Raw genomic sequence first — 19,188 nt, forward strand, 5'->3', positions numbered from 1 at the left:
TCATGTCTCCAGCTACAACTGAGTGTCTCTGATGATTAAACAACAACCCGAGTTTTCTCTCTGCAGAAGACTCCTAAAAAAGAGTTGTAATTAGTTACCAGCTGAGAAAGATGCAATACAAATAGGAAATAACCGCAATTTATAATTTTATTTATCTAAAATCTGTCTTCCTCCCTAGACAGTAAGCTCTCTGAAGTCAAGAACCATAGTTGTTTTGTTCACTACTGTATACTCAGCACCTAATAGTACTTGGCACATAAGTACTCAGGGACTATTTGTCAAATGCAAGAACATATGCCCCTAAAGCAGAAGTCAGGAAAACCAGAAAAAATGCCTTTAAGTATTACAGAAATGCCACAGGCCTCCACTTAAATTGAAAAGCAAGCTAACCCCTCTTGATAAAAATGTGGATTGAGATCAAGAAGCAGCTTCTCTGCTCCTTCTGGAATCTCCACCTGGTTTAGCCTGCTGCCTCCACTCCTGCCTCCACCATGTCCATCAGGGTGATCCAGAAGTCCTACAAGGTGTCCACCTTTGGCCCCCAGGCTTTCAGCAGCCACCCCTACACTAGTGGGCCCAGTGCCTGCACCAGCTCCTTGAGCTTCTCCCTAGTGGGGAGCTTCACTGTGCAGCTTCTGGGGTGGCCTGGGCGGAGGCTATGGTGGGGCCAGCAGTATGCGAGGCATCACCACCATCACGGTAAACCAGAGCCTGCTGAGCCCCCTTAACCTGGAGGTGGACTCCAACATCCAGGCTGTATACACCCAGGAGAAGGAGCAGATCAAGACCCTCAACAACAAGTTTGCCTCCTTCACAGACCAGGTATGGTTCCTGGAGCAGCAGAACAAGGTGCTGGAGACCAAGTGGAGCCTTCTGCAGCAGCACAAGATGGCTGGGAGCAACATGGACAACATGTTCGGGAGCTATATCAACAACCTTAGGCGGCTGCTGGAGCCAGGAGAAGCTGAGGCTGGAAGCGGAGCTTGGCAACATGCAGGGGCTGGTGGAGGACTTCAGGAACAAGTATGAGGATGAGATCAATAAGCCTACAGAGATGGAGAATTAATTTGTCCTCATCAAGAAGGATGTGGATGAAACTTACATGAACAACGTAGAGCTGGAGTCTCACCTGGAAGGGCCGACTGTATGAAGTGGAGATCCGGGAGCTGCAGTCCCAGATCTCCAACATGTCTGTGGTGCTGTCCATGGACAGCAGCCACTCCTGGACATGGACAGCATCATCACTGAGGTAAAGAGGCAGTACAAGGAGGTTGCCAACTGCAGCCGGGCTGAGGCTGAGAGCACGTACCAGATCAAGTATGTGGAGCTGCAGACGCTGGCTAGGAAGCACAGGGATGACCTGCGGCATACAAAGACTCAGATCTCCAAGATGAACCGGAACATCAGCCAGCTCCAGGCTGAGATTGAGGGCCTCCAAGGCCAGGGGGCTTCCCTGGAGGCCACCATCCCAGATGCTGAGCATCGTGGGGAGCTGGCCGTTAAGGATGCCAATGCCAAGCTCTCCAAGCTGGAGGCCACTCTGCAACGTGTGAGTACCAGGAGCTGATGAAAGTCAAGCTGGCCTGGAAATGGAGGTCGCCACCTACAGAAAGCTGCGGGAGAGCTAGGAGAGCCAGCTGGAGTCTGGGATGCAGAACATGAGTATCCATACGAAGACCACCAGCGGCTATGCAGGTGATCTGAGCTCGGCCTATGTGGGCCTCACAACTCGTGACCTCAGCTATGGCCTGGGCTCCAGCTTTGGCTCTGGCACAGGCTTCAGCTCCTTCAGGTGCACCAGCTCCACCAGGGCCGTGGTTGTGAAGAAGATCGAGACCCGCGATGGGAAGCTGGTGTCTGAGTCCTCTGACTTCCTGCCCAAGTGAACAACTGTGGCAGCTCCTCCTAGTCTGCCCCTCCCGTGGCTGCCACAGACTCCAGGAGGGAGGCTGCTGTGTGGGGAAGCACAGACAACAGGAGACCCCCCACCTGAGGCTCAACCCACCCGTGGGGGAGTTTACTGTCTGGGGACCCCCCTTGCCCATGCTTCCAGCTAGAAAACAATTGTGGTTTTTTTTTTGGTCCAAAATAAAACCTCAGCTAGCTCCACCACAAAAAAAAAAAAAAAAATTGTGGATTGAGTCGTTATTGCTTCTAGTTTACTGAGTTCCTTCTATTTATATAAATTCTTGATTTGATATCAAGCTCATTCTGGGGTGAAAGTTTAGGGAATAAATCAGACATACATTTCAGGGCAAAACCCCCTATGTATTTAAAAGTAGTTGTGACACACTTCGTTAAACAATTATCCTTAATTATAATTCTTAGTCTATTGGCTTAAATTTATTACTTGAAATTGTCACTACTCGTTTGCCAAGTTTACATGTTTAGTGTCTATACTTACAGTTCTTCCCAGATAGAAGATACATAATTTATCAAATGGGCAAAGAAGTCCTTCAGGGAGTTGGTAATAGCTCTACATGCTGATTGGTAATTGAATTAGCAAGATATGGTAGATCTAACTGATTAGAAGGTTTCAATTTAACTTGCTGAACTAAGGAAGTAAAATGCAGAATTATTAACCATTTCAATATTATCTTAATTTGGGATGTGATAATTAATTACCACAAACTGAGTGGCTTAAACAAACATTTATTTCTCACAGTTAGGGAGGACGTGAAGTCCATTATTAAGGCCGATCTGGTATCTGGTGAGAACTCACTTCCTGGTTTGGAGATGGCTATCTACTTACTGTATCCTTGTATATTGGATAGTAGCCAGGGAGCAAGCTCTCATTTCTGTTATACGGGCACTGATCCCACTCATGAGGGCTTCACCATCATGATCTAATTACTTCCCTCAAACCTCACCCTTAACGCCATCACATTGGGGCTTAAGATTTCAACATAAATTTTGGGGGAACACAAACATTTAGTACATAACTAACAGACTATATAACAAAAATGCTTTTTTATGTATATGAAGTATAGTTGTTATAACCAAACACCAGAAAACCTATTCTGTATCTGAGACCTGTTTTGCAATAGGCTATTTGGTGTTAGGTAATGATCTTCTGACTTGTAATCACTCTTGGTATTGGGAAAGTCTAAAATATTATAGAGATACTTGCTTTCAGTGTGTCATGAAATTCTCTTTCAGTCACTTTCTGAATAAAGAAACTGTTCTGCAACAGACATTTGTGAAAGGATTTGTGAAGACTTACACAGGATTTTGGTTGATCAAATGCAATCTCAAAAATAATTATACTTGTTAAGCAGTTTAGACTCTTCTCATGATATATGCATTAAACTGAAGATTATAGAATCTTTCTTTGTAATATGGATCCTATGGTTTCTGTTACTGTTTGGGGGAATACCTTAGATTATGTTTGATTTCCGGAGCAAAAGCCTGGGTAGTGTTGGCTGAAAAAAGAAGGAATTTCTTACTTTTTTTTTTCTTTTTTTTGAGATAGGGTTTCACTCTGTTTCCCAGGCTAGAGTGCAGTGGTGCGATCTTGGCTCACTGCAACCTCTGCCTCCTGGGTTCAAGCAATTCTCCTGCCTCAGTCTCCCATGTAGCTGCGATTACAGGCACTCGCCACCACACCCGGCTAATTTTTGTATTTTTAGTAGAGACGGGGTTTTAACATGTTGGTCAGGCTGGTCTTGAACTCCTGACCTTGTGATCCACCCACCTCGGCCTCCCAAAGTGCTAGGATTACAGGCATGGTACTGCGCCCAGCCTCAGGAATTTTATATGTTGCTAAATCTTACTAAAATATAATTGTTTTTGTTACAGTTGGACTGCTGCTTTTTTGAGAGAAAAATATTAAGCCTTTGGTAATATACCTTTATTTTCTCTGGAAAACAAAGTTGATCAGGTAGTAGGGACTTCATTCATTCATTTTCATTGCCAGACTTTTCTGACTTATAACTTGGGGAGCCTGGAGAAACAATTGTTACCAAATATTGAACACCTACCATGTTCTAGGTCTAGGTGTTTTATCTATGCAAAGTGTTTTCTTTTAAAATTATTATTGTTATTTCTATTTCTGCTATTATAGGCAGATAATTTTGACTGAAGCCCCTGGTAAAAGATGATAAATTAAAAGGCTAGCCATTGATGTTATTATTATTATTATTTTTGAGACAGAGTCTCACTCTCTTGCCCAGGTTGGAGTACAGTGGGGTGATCTCCGCTTACTGCAACCTCCACCTCCCAAGTTCAAGTGATTCTCCCGCCTCAGCCTCCCGAGTAGCTGGGATTACAGGCGCCTGCCACCATGCCCGGCTAACTTTTTTGTATTTTTAGTGGGGACATGGTTTCACTGGGTTGGCCAGCCTGGTTTCAAACTCCTGACCTCAAGTGACCGGCCTGCCTTGGCCTCCCAAAGTGCTAGGATTACAGGTGTGAGCTGCTGCGCCTAACCATTGATGTTAATTTGATTGAGAGGGATGAATCTAGTTTTTCTTTAGGTTTTTTTTTTTAAGTTAATTTTAACTATTTAATTGGAGAAAAACAGAATTATAGGCCCAGCCTCCAGGCCCAATAGTCTCATTTCAGACAAGCTCTCTACCCCTATCTTTTTTTGTTGTTTAAACTTTTTATTTTAAACTAATTACAGATTCACAGGAGTTCCAAAAAAATGTACAAGGAGATCCCATATGTCCTCTACTGAGTCTCTCCCAATGGTATCATCTTGTATAACTGTACTACATTATCAAAACAAGGAAATTGATATTGATATAATCCACAGAGGTTATTCAGAGGGGAGGCAAGACATTAGAATGTAAAGAATATATGAAAGTATGAGGCAATATCCATGTATTGGAACCTTTTATAACCTTATACTTTACAGGAAAAAATTCTATAATGACAGTGATGACAGTTGTTACCAAATATGGAGCACCTACTGTATTCTAGGTTTAGGTATTTTATTATCATTATTTGTATTTATTTTGTATTTCTGCTATTATAGGCAGGTAATAGTTAATGAGCACTTTCATGGCAGTCAGTCTTTTTTTTTTTTAAAGATGGAGTTTCACTCTGTTGCCCAGGCTGGAGTGCAGTGGCGCGATCTCGGCTCACTGCAACTTCCGCCTCCTGGGTTCAAGTGATTTTCCTCCTGCCTCAGCCTCCCAAGTAGGCGCAAGCCGCCACACCCAGCTAATTTTTGTATTTTGGCGGAGACAGGCTTTCACCATGTTGGCCAGGCTGGTCTCAAACTCCTGACCTCAAGTGATCCGCCTGCCTCGGCCTCCCAAAGTTTTGGGATTACAGGCGTGGGCCACTGCACCCGGGCTGGCAGGCATAAAAAGCACCTGTAATCCCAGCTACTCGGGAGGCTGAGGCAGAAGGAGAATCACTTGAACCGGAGAGGGGGAGGTTGCAGTGAGCCGAGATCACGCCACTGCACTCCAGCCTGGGCAACAAGCAAGACTCTGTCTCAAAAAAAAAAGACTGACTGCCACGTAAGTGCTCAATAACTATTACCTGCCTATAATAGCAGAAATACAAATAATAATAAAAAAAATACTTTATATAGATAATGTATGTATGCAATATATGTATGTTAACTCATTGAATTCTCACCACCACGCTATGAGTTAAGTATACTCACTTTACAGACGAGAAACTTGAAGAACAAAGAAGTTTAGTAATTTGCCCAAGATCACACAGTAGCTGGCATTTGAACTGGGCATGACACCAGAGCTGGCACTCCTAATTACCATGGAGGTACATAAACTTCACTGTGCATAGCAACCTTTAAAGGTAGACATTTCCATTTTCTGTATGAGGAACCTGAGGTTCAAAGAAGGGAAGTAATTTGCTCAAGAACCTACACAACTAACAGGTGCTAGTGTGTCTGGAATTGGTTGGTGGGTTCTTGGTCTCACTGACTTCAAGAATGAAGCCGCGGACCCTCGCGGTGAGTGTTACAGTTATTAAAGGCGGCATGTCTGGAGTTTGTTCCTTTTGATGTTCGGATGTGTTCCGAGTTTCTTCCTTCTGGTGGGTTCGTGGTCTCGCTGGCTCAGGAGTGAAGCTGCAGACCTTCGCGGTGAGTGTTACAGCTCATAAAGGCACTGTGGACCCAGAGTGAGCAGCAGCAAGATTTATTGCAAAGAGAGAAAGAACTAAGCTGCCACAGTGTGGAAAGGGACCTGAGTGGCTTGCCGCTGCTGGCTTGGACAGCCTGCTTTTATTCTCTTATCTGGCCCCACCCACATCCTGCTGATTGGTAGAGCCGAGTGGTCTGTTTTGACAGGGCACTGATTGGTGCGTTTACAATCCCTGAGCTAGACACAAAGGTTCTCCACGTCCCCACCAGATTAGCTAGATACAGAGTGTGGAACACAAAGGTTCTCCAAGTCCCCACCAGAGTAGCTAGATACAGAGTGTCAATTGGTGCATTCACAAACCCTGAGGTAAACACAGGGTGCTGATTGGTGTGTTTACAAACCTTGAGCTAGATACAGAGTGCAGATTGGTGTATTTACAATCCCTGAGCTAGACATAAAGGTTCTCCACGTCCCCACCAGACTCAGGAGCCCAGCTGGCTTCCCCCAGTGGATCCCGCACCCTGGCTGCAGGTGGAGCTGCCTGCCTGTCCCACGCCGTGTGCCCACACTCCTCAGCCCTTGGGTGGTCGATGGGACTGGGCGCTGTGGAGCAGGGGGTGGCACTCGTCGGGGAGGCTCAGGCCGCACAGGAGCCCACGGAGCCGGGGGGAGGCTCAGGCATGGCAGGCTGCAGGTCCCGAGCCCTGCCCCGCGGGAAGGCAGCTAAGGCCCGGGAGAAATTGAGCACAGCAGCTGCTGGCCCAGGTGCTAAGCCCCTCACTGCCAGGGCCGGTGGGGCTGGCCGGCCGCTTTGAGTGCGGGGTCCACCGAGCCTACGCCCACCCGGAACTCGCGCTGGCCCGCAAGCACCACCCGCTGCCCCAGTTCCCGCCCGCACCTCTCCCTCCACCCCTCCCCGCAAGCTGAGGGAGCCGGCTCCAGCCTTGGCCAGCCCAGAAAGGGGCTCCCACAGTGCAGCGGCGAGTTGAAGGGCTCCTCAAGTGCCGCCAAAGTGGGAGCCCACGCAGAGGAGGTGCGGAGAGCAAGCGAGGGCTGTGAGGACTGCCAGCACGCTGTCACCTCTCACTGGAACCCTAGTTGGAGTCCAGCCCTGCCTAGCTGTAAACCCCTGCGACTTCTAGTGGACCATTCTAGATAGACCCTGGCCTATCACACTGATCTCAGCTGGATCTCTGAAGAGGTCTAGTTCTGAAATGCCCAAGGGAATGGTTTGCAAACTTCAGAATGCATTAGAATCACCTGGAAGGTTAAAAACCAGATTGGTGGCCTTTATCCTCAGGGTTTCTGTTTCAGTAAATTTGGGACAGCCTTTGAAGATGTGAATTTCTAACAAGAGCTCAGAGGATGCTAATGATGTTTCAGTTCCTAGAATATACTTTGACAACTACTAAATCTGGCCCAACAGAGCTCATTATAGATAGATTCAGCATTAAGATAAGAACAGAGTTAAAATAAGGGTTAATTAGGCATCATAGTAATAGATCATATATCACGCAACACTTCAAAATACTGCATGTCAGCTGGGCATGGTGGTTCACAACTGTAATCCCAGCACTTTGGGAGGCCGAGGCAAGTGGGTCGCTTGGGCCCAGGAGTTTGAGACCAGCCTGGGCAACATGCTGAAACCCTGTCTCTACGAAAAAAAAAAAAGGAAAGAAAAAATTAGCCGGGTATGGTGGAATGGTGGCATGGTGGCATGAGCCTGTAGTCCTAGCTACTTGGGAGGCTGAGGTGGGAGGATCACTTGGGCCTGGGAAGTTGAGGCTGCAGTGAGCCATGATCACACCACTGCACTCCAGCCTTGGTGACAAGAGTGAGACCCTGCATCAAAAAAAAAAAAAAAAAAAAAAAAAAAGTAATGAGTGTGTAAATTCATTGTTATAGATTTCTTGCTTGAAAAAATGTACCAAACGATTAGTGTTTCAAGGACAGCATTGAACAAACCAGTAATACCCAGTTCCATACTACTTTCTGAATAGATGTATGTACTACTTTCCTGGGTTTCTCTCTGCTTCTAGTTTTCCTCTTGAGTTTTCTCAAATGCTATTTTCTTTATGGCATTCTTCACCAAGACTGGCTCCATTGAGCATGCAAAGTCTATTCTGAGTTTTTTGGTGTTAGCTTAAATCTCATATACTCTGCCACTGCCTTCCCTAGCTCCTTGAAGGAACAAGCCTGTCCTCATTCTTGTATCAATTCTCAAAGAGGCAGATTGTCTCCATTAACTATTCTTCCTCTGTTTCTGAATTTTAGCCCATTTGCCAGATTCTCTGTTTCCCTTCTACTAGTCTCCTTTTCAGGGCTCTCCCCCTAGAGGTCCAGTCAGGAGGATTGGAGTTTCCTGCCCCATCTGGACTGACCTTTTGGAACTATCTCTGACACCAACAAACAAAACGGAACTACTGGGTTAGCTTCTCTGTTTTTAGTCACCCTGTTCAGGGGGATTCCTTTACAATCAAAACAAGGAAAAAAAGAAAACTGTTCATTATTAATCCTTTTTTTATTTCTGCTAATGGTGCTACACAGTTACTTGAGCTGAAAACATTAAGCAACTTTGATTTTTCATCCTTTTCTTTTGCATCCCACACTCAATCAATGCCAAATTGTAATGATTAAGTATCTTCACAGAGTCTCTCACATTTGCCTACTTTTCATTCCCAATGCCTCTGCCCTGTTCAAGACTTGTAAGAATTGTTTCATATTCGTGATATTTCAGAGTTGGGAGAAAGTATAAATATTACCTAGATCAATCATCCATTTTGTGCTTGAATTTTCACTTCAATATTCCCATCAGGTGGTTTTTCCAACCTCAATACTTCTCGAGTCATAGCCCATTAGCCTTCAGAGGATACCGTTAGAACATTTTTCTTGTAAGACACATGTGCATCTAATCATTTAAAACAAAAAGTGATTGTAATATTTAGATATTTAAAGTAAAAGCAGTTAAATATCTGTGGAAATAACAAAGGGCAAATGCATTAAGTAGAGCTCTTTTTTGTATTTGTGAAAATGATATAATTCTATCTTCAGTAATACCACACACCTGAATTATGGGTTCTGTTTCGAAATGTGATAATAATTAGAGTGCTAATCAGACTGGTGAAAATTAATTCTCGTGAATATAAGTGTCTTTAATAATTTTAATGAAGACAGACTGATGTCCTAAAACAGATGATTGCCTTGGATAATCTCATATAAGTAGGATTCTGATGTGTTTATTAGTTGCTTTTCTTTATTACTGAGCATAGATTATATGTGATATATGGTACCATGTATACACACATGATTATAATTGTGTAACATGAGTTAAAAGATAGTGTAAGATTGAATACTTCTAGGGCATGGGATTTAGTCTTGAAATACACACCTCATAGGATTTATCAGATTTCTATTTATAGTCTGTCACCATGTTATAAAAAACCCTGAAGTCTCTTGGAGAACTTCTCAAATAGAATTTCAACAGATTCTCCAGATGCCTATGAAGTCAAAGTTTTATAGTTCCTGCTGTGCCATTTATGCTTGGTTACCACTGGTTACCTTATGATGGACTTCAGACAAAATCTTTAACAACAAATCTTTTAATGTTTTTCTTCCTGCTTTCCCACAGTGTTGAATCCTGGAAACACTTGTCTTTCACCTACATGCTTATCCCAACACTTTCATTAGGGCTTGTTAAACGTTGCTATTCATATAACTAATGAGAATAAGAGCCTGGTAAGTGTTAGATCATCTTTAGAGCCCATTAGATATTAGAATGTCTTGTGCACTTGTTTTTGGCTACAAACCTAAGATCTGCCTAATCAAACTTGATGTTCTACATGGCAGAACATAGCTACCATACTGATCCCAAATTAGACTTCCCAGGTTTTTAGTTCTGCTTATAAATAGAAGCATCAGAGGAAACGTTTAACTTGTAGACAGATCAAGTCAATTAACAACTAGTAACACTACTATTTGGTTAAGTCAAGGATATCATAGAGCCATTTAGAGCAGTAGAAAAATATCAGTACCCAAGTGACCTAGAAGAGCTATTTAATTTCTAGAGATAAGAAATACCTGTTGTTTTATATTTATCTTCTTACTTTTTTCTTATGCTTCTACTTGTGACATGAAAAGAGGAAAAAATTACCCTCCATTTATTGTCGAGATAGTCATTAGAATGGAAAACTCTTTAAGAGTAGTTAAATTTTGCCACAGAAGTCTTTAGTAATACCACACACCAGGATTATAGGCTCTGTTTTGAAATGTGAGCAGAGCCATATATCTCTGTCTCCTCGCTGGATTTCAGTCAGTCCTCTTGGAGGCACTCTTGTGACATGTGAACTGATCCAAAGGGTACTCTGGCAAATCGTTGATCTTGGCACCCTTAAAATGCTAACTCCTTTTAGGGATAATTTAAATACAATTTGTGTTGACTTTATTACTCAAGATAATAACAAAGAAGGAAAGGGAAGGATAAACCACATGTGTGTTTCTACCCACCACTCATATGCAACCCTTTACTGTAGTGTATATCTTAGTATATACTGAGTGTAATTTATAGTGTAATATATAGTACAGCATATATCTAAGGGTATAGTGTTATGTATAGTCAGGCCTGGCTTTATGGACACGTGACTCATACAGCCAAACAGAGCTCCATGCATGGCTTAAAACTCTGCTGTCACTGTCTTAGAAATTCTGTTTTTAAATTGGTGGCTCAACATTTTCATTTTGCACTGGTCCTTACAAATATGTAGTCTGCCATATTTAGTGTAGCATATACGTAGTACCATGTATCAGTGTACCTATAGTGTAGCGTATGTATCTTGTACTCCTTACCTACCCACAATTCTTTTTTCACATGCATTCCTTCAGTTTTTTCCTTAAAACTGTCTATATAATATTTCCAGTTTAAATGTAAACAAGTGATATGGTTTTGCTCTGTGTCGCCACCCAAATCTCATCTTGCAGCTCCCATAATTTCCACGTGTTGTGGGAGGGACCCAGTGGGAGATGATTGAATCATGGGGGCGGGTCTTTCCCGTGCTGTTCTCATGATAGTGAATGGATCTCATGAGATCTGGTGGTTTAAAAAATGAGTTTCTCTGCACAAGCTCTCTCTTTGCCTGCTGCCACCCACGTAAGATGTGACTTGCTCCTCCTTGCCTTCTGCCATAATTGTGAGGCCTCCTCAGCCATGTGAAACTGTAAGTCCCAAAAACCTCTTTTTATTTTATTTTTTTGTAAATTGTCCAGTCTCAGTTATGTTTTTATCAGCAGCATGAAAACAGACTAATATAACAAGTAAGGTAAATGTAAATAGAATCATAGTACATATGCCATTCTGAAACCTGTTTTTTTCATTTAACACATTAGGGACATTGCTTCCTGTTAATTTATCTCATACTTTGTGATTTCTGAAGAATATTGTCTGGTATAGATAAACCATAATTTATTTAACCAGTCTCCTACTGATGGACATAAATTGTTTCCTGTTCTTTGCTGTGACAAAGAGTGAACATATTTGAATATACTTGTTTGTGGATTTGCCCTATTATTTCCTTAGAATAAGTTTCTAGAAGTAGAATTGCTGAGTCAAAGGGTAAGAACATTTTATGAACATTTTAAAATGTGATAATACTTTTGGGTTGCTCCTCAGAATGATTATACCAGATTATACCTATCTAAATCCCACCAGTAGTGTACAAGCATGTTTGTTGCCCCACGTGCTAACTGAGCATAATAACTCAATTGCATCTCTGCTAATCTGATAGTCCCTGCAATTTTTAATGGTCTTGGCCTGTGTTATTAGCTCACTGGGATATCACTGATTCTGCTAATATGGAATGGCAGTGTATTAAATTAAACATCATTGTACCTATCAAAGTGAGTACCTTTTAGGTAGTAATTTTGGATTGGCCTTTTTAGCCAAATATGAGGTACTCTAAGCTCCCATCTTTTCTTTTAAGCTAATAAGGTTTTTACTTTCCATGTGTACCATTTAGGGATCCTGTAAGTGCTCAAAGAGATCTTCAGGACACTGACCTTACTTTCTGCTCTTAATCCCTGACTATTTAAAAAAATTATTTTAAAACAAGTTCAGACTTTCAAAAAAGTTGTAAAAGAATAGTACAAAGAATTCTCATATACCTTTCATCCAAGTTCCCCAAATGTTAACATTTTACACATTTACTCTTGCATCTCTCTCTCTTTCTCTGAACTCTCAGAGTTGAGTTGCAGACATGATGTTTCTACCCCAAATGCTTCAAGTTCATTCTCTTCCATAATCACAGTCTAATTATCTAAATCAGGAAAATTGACATGAAATTCTTATCTATAGACATCATTTAAATTTCATCAATTTTCCCAAAAATATTCTTTATAGAAAAAGAAGAAAAAAAATTTCGAGTTCAGGATTCAAACCAACATCACACATTACAGTTGTCATGAATACCTCCTTTCTTTTTTTGATCATATTTTTTTCCAGACAAATCCCAGGATGATATAGATAAATACTTTTTGGCAACCTAAATACTAAAAATATGGTTGGTTAGTTTTTTTGTATCTATATGTTCTAAAACAGAGAAAAATTGCTTAAAAAGGAAAAGACAAGGCCGGGTGCGGTGGCTTACGCCCCTAATCCCAGCACTTTGGGAGGCCAAGGTGGGTGGATCACTTGAGGCCGGGAGTTCGAGACGAGCCTGGCCAACATGGGGAAACCCCGTCTCTACTAAAAATACAAAAATTAGCCGGGCGTAGTGGCGTGCTTCTCTAATCACAGCTACTCGGGAGGCTGAGAAAGGAGAATTGCTTGAACCCGGGAGGCGGAGGTTGCAGTGAGCTGAGATCACGCCACTGCACTCCAGCCTGGGTGACAGAGTAAGACTCTGTCTCAAAAAAAAAAAAAGAGGAAATGACGAGATCCAACAGGTTAGAGAAGTGGTGTATTCTGACCATAGATAATAGAAATTTGCAGCATTGAATCATAAGTTGTAAAAAATTAAAATTTCAGAAACCTTTAACAATACTCTGAACTTTAAGAAAAGGTTTTCCAGAGACTTTCTAAACGGATTGTTTGCCACCGTTGCTAATAGTATCAGATGTTGAGAAGTTTTATTTGATTACATGCAAATAAAGTTACCTCTAAGTCCCTAGAAAGCCTAGAGAAAAGGGAAAATTGAACAGATATAATGAGAAATACCTCTTCCCACTCAACATTGGAGATGAACAGCATTTGTGTTCTTAATAAGATAACACTAAACAGCTTTCCTTTCTCTCGAATCTTTTGTTAAAGACCAACATAACGCGTAGATCCAAAATGGTGGCATAGCAGCAAGCTGGCTTCACTCTCCCCCACAGAAAACTAAAAACAAATGTACAGCTCCAAGATTATCACTAGCAATATCCCAGAACTCAAATATGAAGATGAGACAGTTCCTGCGCCCACAGAAAAGTGAAAAAAGTCTGAGAAGACAGAGAATAGAACTTCCACATCTATGATGTCCCGCCCCACATTTGGCCCAGCAATAAGGGTGCGAAAATTCTTCCCCGACACAGTTTCTACACTGGAAAAAGTGAGACTGAAGTGGACAACCAGCTTCCTCATCAATTTGGGTTCCCTGGCAGGAGACTTGTGCCTGCTTTAACCACAGGGCACATTGTGAGTGCCTAAAGGGAGAAATATCCCTGAGAATAGGCAGAGACAAAGGGAGGAGGCAGTACTACCATGCAGCCCTGAAAACTCTGCTGTGTAACTCAGCTAAAGGGGACACCAGATGAGAATGATTGCTCAGCAGCAACATGCTGTAGGAGATTTGTTCCACAGGTCCCCTGGGCACAAACTACTAGCCAGCCTTCTACACTGCCAAAATATCTTCTTTAGGACTTCCCCAGTTTGGGAAGGGCAGTGCTATGATTGTTTACTATAACTGAGGTGAAGCTGGGCTTAAGGAGCCACATAGAACTGAAAAGGAGGAAGCAACCTAGTGGTTAAGAACCTCTGAGCAAATATAAAAACCAAAATAAGCTAGTCAAAGAAGACTGGAATAAATAATCTTTCAATGCAAAGACACAGATGTACATCCACAAGAAACAACAGCAAATGGGGAAAGATGATCTCCCCAAATGGACAAAGCAAGGAACCAGTAACTGACCCCAGTGAGATGGTAATATGTGAACTCTCTGACCAATAATTTAAAACAGCAGTTTTAAGGAACTCAGTGATTTCCAAGATAACACAGAAAAGCAGTTCAGAAGTTTATCAGAGAAATTTAACAAAGAGATTGAAATAATAAAAAAAATCAAACAGAAGTCTTGGAACTCAGAAATACATTTGCTGAACTGAAAAATTCATTAGAAGCTCTCAACAGCCAAATGGATCAAGCAGAGGAAAAAAATCAGTGCTCTCAAAGACAAGCTATTTGAAAATACACAATGAAAGGAGAAAAAAAGGAAACCAACAAAGATCATCTACAAGATATAGAAAATTGCCTCAAAAGACCAAATCTAAGAATTATTGGTGTTCAAGAGGGAGTTGAGCAATAGCATGGGGTGGAAAGCTTATTCCAAGCAATAATAAAATGAAACTTTCCAAAACTTGAGAAAGACATAAATATTCAGGTACAGGAAGGTCAGAGAACACCAAACAGATTTGATTAAAATAAAACTACCCCAAGGCATATAATAACACTCAAAGGACAAGGACAAAGGAAAAATGCTGAAAGTGGCAAGAGAAAATAAGCAGATAACATATAAAGGAGCTCCAGTTTATCTGGCAACAGACTTCTCAATGGAAATCACATAGGCCAGGAGGGAGTGGAATAACATTTTTAAAGTGAGGGAGTTTTTTTTTTTAACTGCCATCCAAGGATACTGCCTCCAGCAAATTTATCCTTCAACCATGAAGGAGACAAAAGTCTTTCCCAGACAAACAAAAGCTGAGAGAATTCACCACCATCAGATTCACCTTACAAGACATATGAAAGGGAGCTCTTCAACCTGAAACAATTTGTTTGTACTAATGTACAAAACAAAAAGAAAAGAAAACTAAAAAAAATTTGAAACTATAAAACCCACTGGTGAATCTAAGTACATGAACAAACTCAGAATACTCTCATACTGTAATTGTGGTATGCATTCTACTCATAATTCTAGTATGAAGCCCAAAAGACAAATCTGTCAAATACAATAATAGCTACAGTAACCTGTCAAGAGATAGACAATTTAAAACACATAAATTGAGACAACTAAAAGTCAAGAGGGGGAGGGGGATGGAGTTAATATGTAAATTTTTTTTAAATTATTTTCTTTGTTTTTATTCTATTTTTTGTGATCTAAGATAAGTTGCCATCTCTATAAAATAATTTCTTATGTCTGCAAGATGCTTTTTATAATCCTCAAGGTAACCACAACACAAAAACCTATAATAGATACACTAAAAATAAAAAACAATGAATTAAAAATACTACCAGCGAAAATCACTTAGCCATGAAAGAAGACAGCAAGAAAGGAAGTAAGAGGAGAGAAGGTACAAAACCACCAGAAAATAAGAATCAAAATGGCATTAGTAAGTCTTTGCTTACCGATAATAACACTGAATATAAATGGACTCAATTCTCTGATTAAAAGGCACAGGGTGGCTGAATGGATAAAGAACCAAGACTTGGCTACATGCTACCTACAAGAAACCAATTTCACCTATAAAGATGCACATAGACTGAAAGTGAAGAGGTGGAAAAAGAGATTCTATGCAACTGGAAACAAAAAAAGAACAGGAGTAGCTATACTTATATCAGATGAAACAGACTACAAATCAAAGACTGTAAGAAGAAACAAAGCAGGTCACTATATAATAATAAAGGAGTCAAATCAGCAAGAGGATTTAACAATTATAAATATCTATGCACCCAAAACAGGAGATCCCAAGTATATAAAACAAACATTAATATATCTAAAGGGAGAGATAGATCACAATACAATAATAGTGGGGACTTTAATACTCTACTGTGAGTAATGAACAGATTATCCAGAAAGAAAATCAACAAAGAAACATTGGAGTTAAACTACACACTAGACCTAATAGGCCTAACTTATTTACCAAATATTTTACCCAACTGCTGCAGAATACATATTCTGTTTATCAGCACATGGAATAGTCTCCAGAACAGACCATATCTTAGGCCACAAAACAAGTCTGAACAAATTTTAAACAGTAGAAATCATATCAAGTATCTTTCCTGGCCAGGTGAGGTGACTCATCCCTACAATCCCAATACTTTGGGAACCTGAGATGGGAGGATCACTTGAGCCTAGGGGTTTCAGAGCAGACTGGGCAACATAGTGAGACTCCATCTCTACAAAAAATAAACAAAATTAGCCAGGCATGATGGCACCTGCCTGTAGTCCCAGCTACTTGAGAGGCTGAAGTGGGAGGATCACTTGAGCCTGGGAGCTTCAGGCAGCAGTGAGCCGTGATCATACCACTGCACTCCAGCCTGGGCAACAGAGCAAGACCCTGTCTCTGAAAAGAAATAATAAATAAAAATAATTTTTAAAATTACCTTTTTCTGATCACAGTGGAATAAAACTAGAAATCAATAATAAGAGAAACCTCAAAAACTTCACAAACAAGTGGAAATTAAACAACATGCTCCTGAATGACAAATGGATCAACGAATAAATTAAGAAGGAAATTAAAAATTTTTGAAGTTAATGAAAAGGAGAATACAGTATACCAAAATCTGTGGGATAAAACAAAGCCGTACTAAGAGGGAAGTTTATAGCAATAAACACCTATATCAAAACAGTAGAACAACCTCAAATAAACAACTTAATGATGCACCTCAAGGAACTAGAATAGCAAAACAAATCAAAATTAGTAGAAGGAAGGAAATAATAAAGATAGAGCAGAAATAAATGAAATTGAAACTAAAAAAATTATGGAAGTTCAATGAAACAAAAAGGATTTTTTTTGAAAAGATAAATAAAATCACCAAACCATTAGCTAGACTAAGAAGAAATAAGAGTGAAGAGCTAAATAAATAATCAGAAACAACTGAGACTACAGAAATGCAAAGGATCATTAGAGATTATTATGAACAACTATATGCCAACAAATTTGAAAACCTAGAAGAAATGGATACATTCCTGGATACAGCAACCTACCAAGATTGAACCATGAAAAAATAGAAAACCTCAGCAAACCGATAATGAGTAATGAGAACAAAGCTGTAATAAAAAGTGTACCATCAAAGAAATGCCTAGGACCTCATAGCTTCACTATTGAATTCTACTAAACATTTAAAGAAGAACTAATACCAATTCTACTCAAACTCTTCAAAAAAAAAGGAAGACAAGGGAATACTTCCAAATTCATTCTATGAGGCCAGCATTACCCTAATACCAAATCAGAGAAAGACACAACAAAAAGAAAACTACAGGCCAATATCCCTTATGAAAATCGACGCAGGAAAAAAAGTCCTCAAGAAAGTACTAGCAAGTTCTCTTTCCCATCTTGCAAGACGGTGGGTGAAAAAGTTGAGAAGCTGGATACTAAGTAGAAGGAACCTGAAGCCAAGAAGGCTGTTGCTAATGGCAAGGTGAAAAAGGGTAAGAAAAGGCCAAAAAGGGGAAGCCTCATTGCAACTGAAGTCCTGTCTTCATCAGAGAAATTGGCAGATATTCCCAATCTGCTATGTATTGTGGAAAGGTTATGTACAAGAGGAAGTATTCAGCCAGTAAATCAAAGATTGAAAAGAAAAAGGAGAAGGTTTAATACAAAAGCAGTTGGTGGTGACAAAGTTGAAGGTACTCAGGTGGTTACACTTTGCAAAATGCATAGCTATTATCCTACTGAAGATGTGCGCTGAACGCTGTTGAGCCACAGCCAAAAATCTTTCAGTCAGCACGGAGAAAACTGCGAGGCAGCATCACTCCCAGGACTATTCTGTCCATCCCCCCTGGGCACCACAGAGGCAAGAGGGTGGTTTTCGTGAAGGAGCTGGGCAGTGGCTTCTCACTTGTGACTGGATCTTTGGTTCTCAGTTGAGTTCTTCTATGAAGAACACACAAGAAATTTGTCATTGCCACCTCCACAAAAGTTGTTATCAGCAATGTGAAAATCCTAAAACATCTTACTCATACTTACTTCAAGAAGAAGAAGCTGTGGAAGCCCAGACACTGGGAAGGTGAGATCATCAACAAAGGAAAAAGAAAAGGAGATTACAGAGCAGTGCAAGGTTGATCAGAAAGCAGTGGACTTGCAAATTTTACTAAAAATCAAAGCGATTCCTTAGCTCCAGGGCTACCTATGATCTGTGTTTTCCCAGATAAATGAAATTTATTCTCAAAAATTGGTGTTCTAAATATCTTAAGAAGAACCTAATTAATTTTTTGATGTGTTGTTGAATTTGACTTTCTAGTTTTTTTAAATGTATCTGTAAATACACTAAAAAAATCAGCAACACATCAAAAAGATAATTCACCATTATCAAGTGAGATTCATCCCATGGATGCATGGATGGTTCAACATACACAAATCAATAAATGTGACACGTCACATTAACAGAACCAAGAACAAAAGCCATATGATTATTTTAATAAATGCTGAAAAAATATTTGATAAAATTCAGTATTCCTTTATGACAAAAGCCTTCACAAACTGGGCATAGAAGAAACATAGCTCAAAATAATAAAGGTCATATATGATAAACCTACAGCTAACATTAGTATGGAAAAAACTGAAGGCCTTTCCTCTAAGATTTGGAGTAAGACAGGAATTGCCACTTGCACTACTTTTATTCAACATAGTAATGGAAGTCCTGGCCAGATCAATAGGGAAGAGAAAGAAATAAAGGGCATCCAGATTAGAAAGGAAAAAGTCGAATTACTCTTGTTCACAGATAACATAATCTTATACTTAGAGAAACCTCAAGATGCCACCAAAAACCTGTTAGAAGTTATTACAAAACTCGATAAAGTTGTAGGATACAAAATCAACATACAAAAATCCATAGCATTTATATACGGCAACAGTGAACAATCTGAAAAAGAAATCAAGAAAGCAATCCCATTTAAAATAGCTACAAATAAAATAAAATACCTAAGAATCAACTTAATCAAAGAA

The 19,188-nt window shown here is 40.5% G+C and overlaps 2 pseudogenes; both read left to right on the forward strand.

Annotated features, from left to right (window-relative positions):
* KRT8P12 (keratin 8 pseudogene 12) lies at nt 419-2,112 on the forward strand (annotated as a pseudogene).
* RPL6P8 (ribosomal protein L6 pseudogene 8) lies at nt 11,907-18,427 on the forward strand (annotated as a pseudogene).

Source organism: Homo sapiens, chromosome 3 (genome assembly GCF_000001405.40).
Source record: "Homo sapiens chromosome 3, GRCh38.p14 Primary Assembly".
NCBI classification, from domain to species: domain Eukaryota; kingdom Metazoa; phylum Chordata; class Mammalia; order Primates; family Hominidae; genus Homo; species Homo sapiens.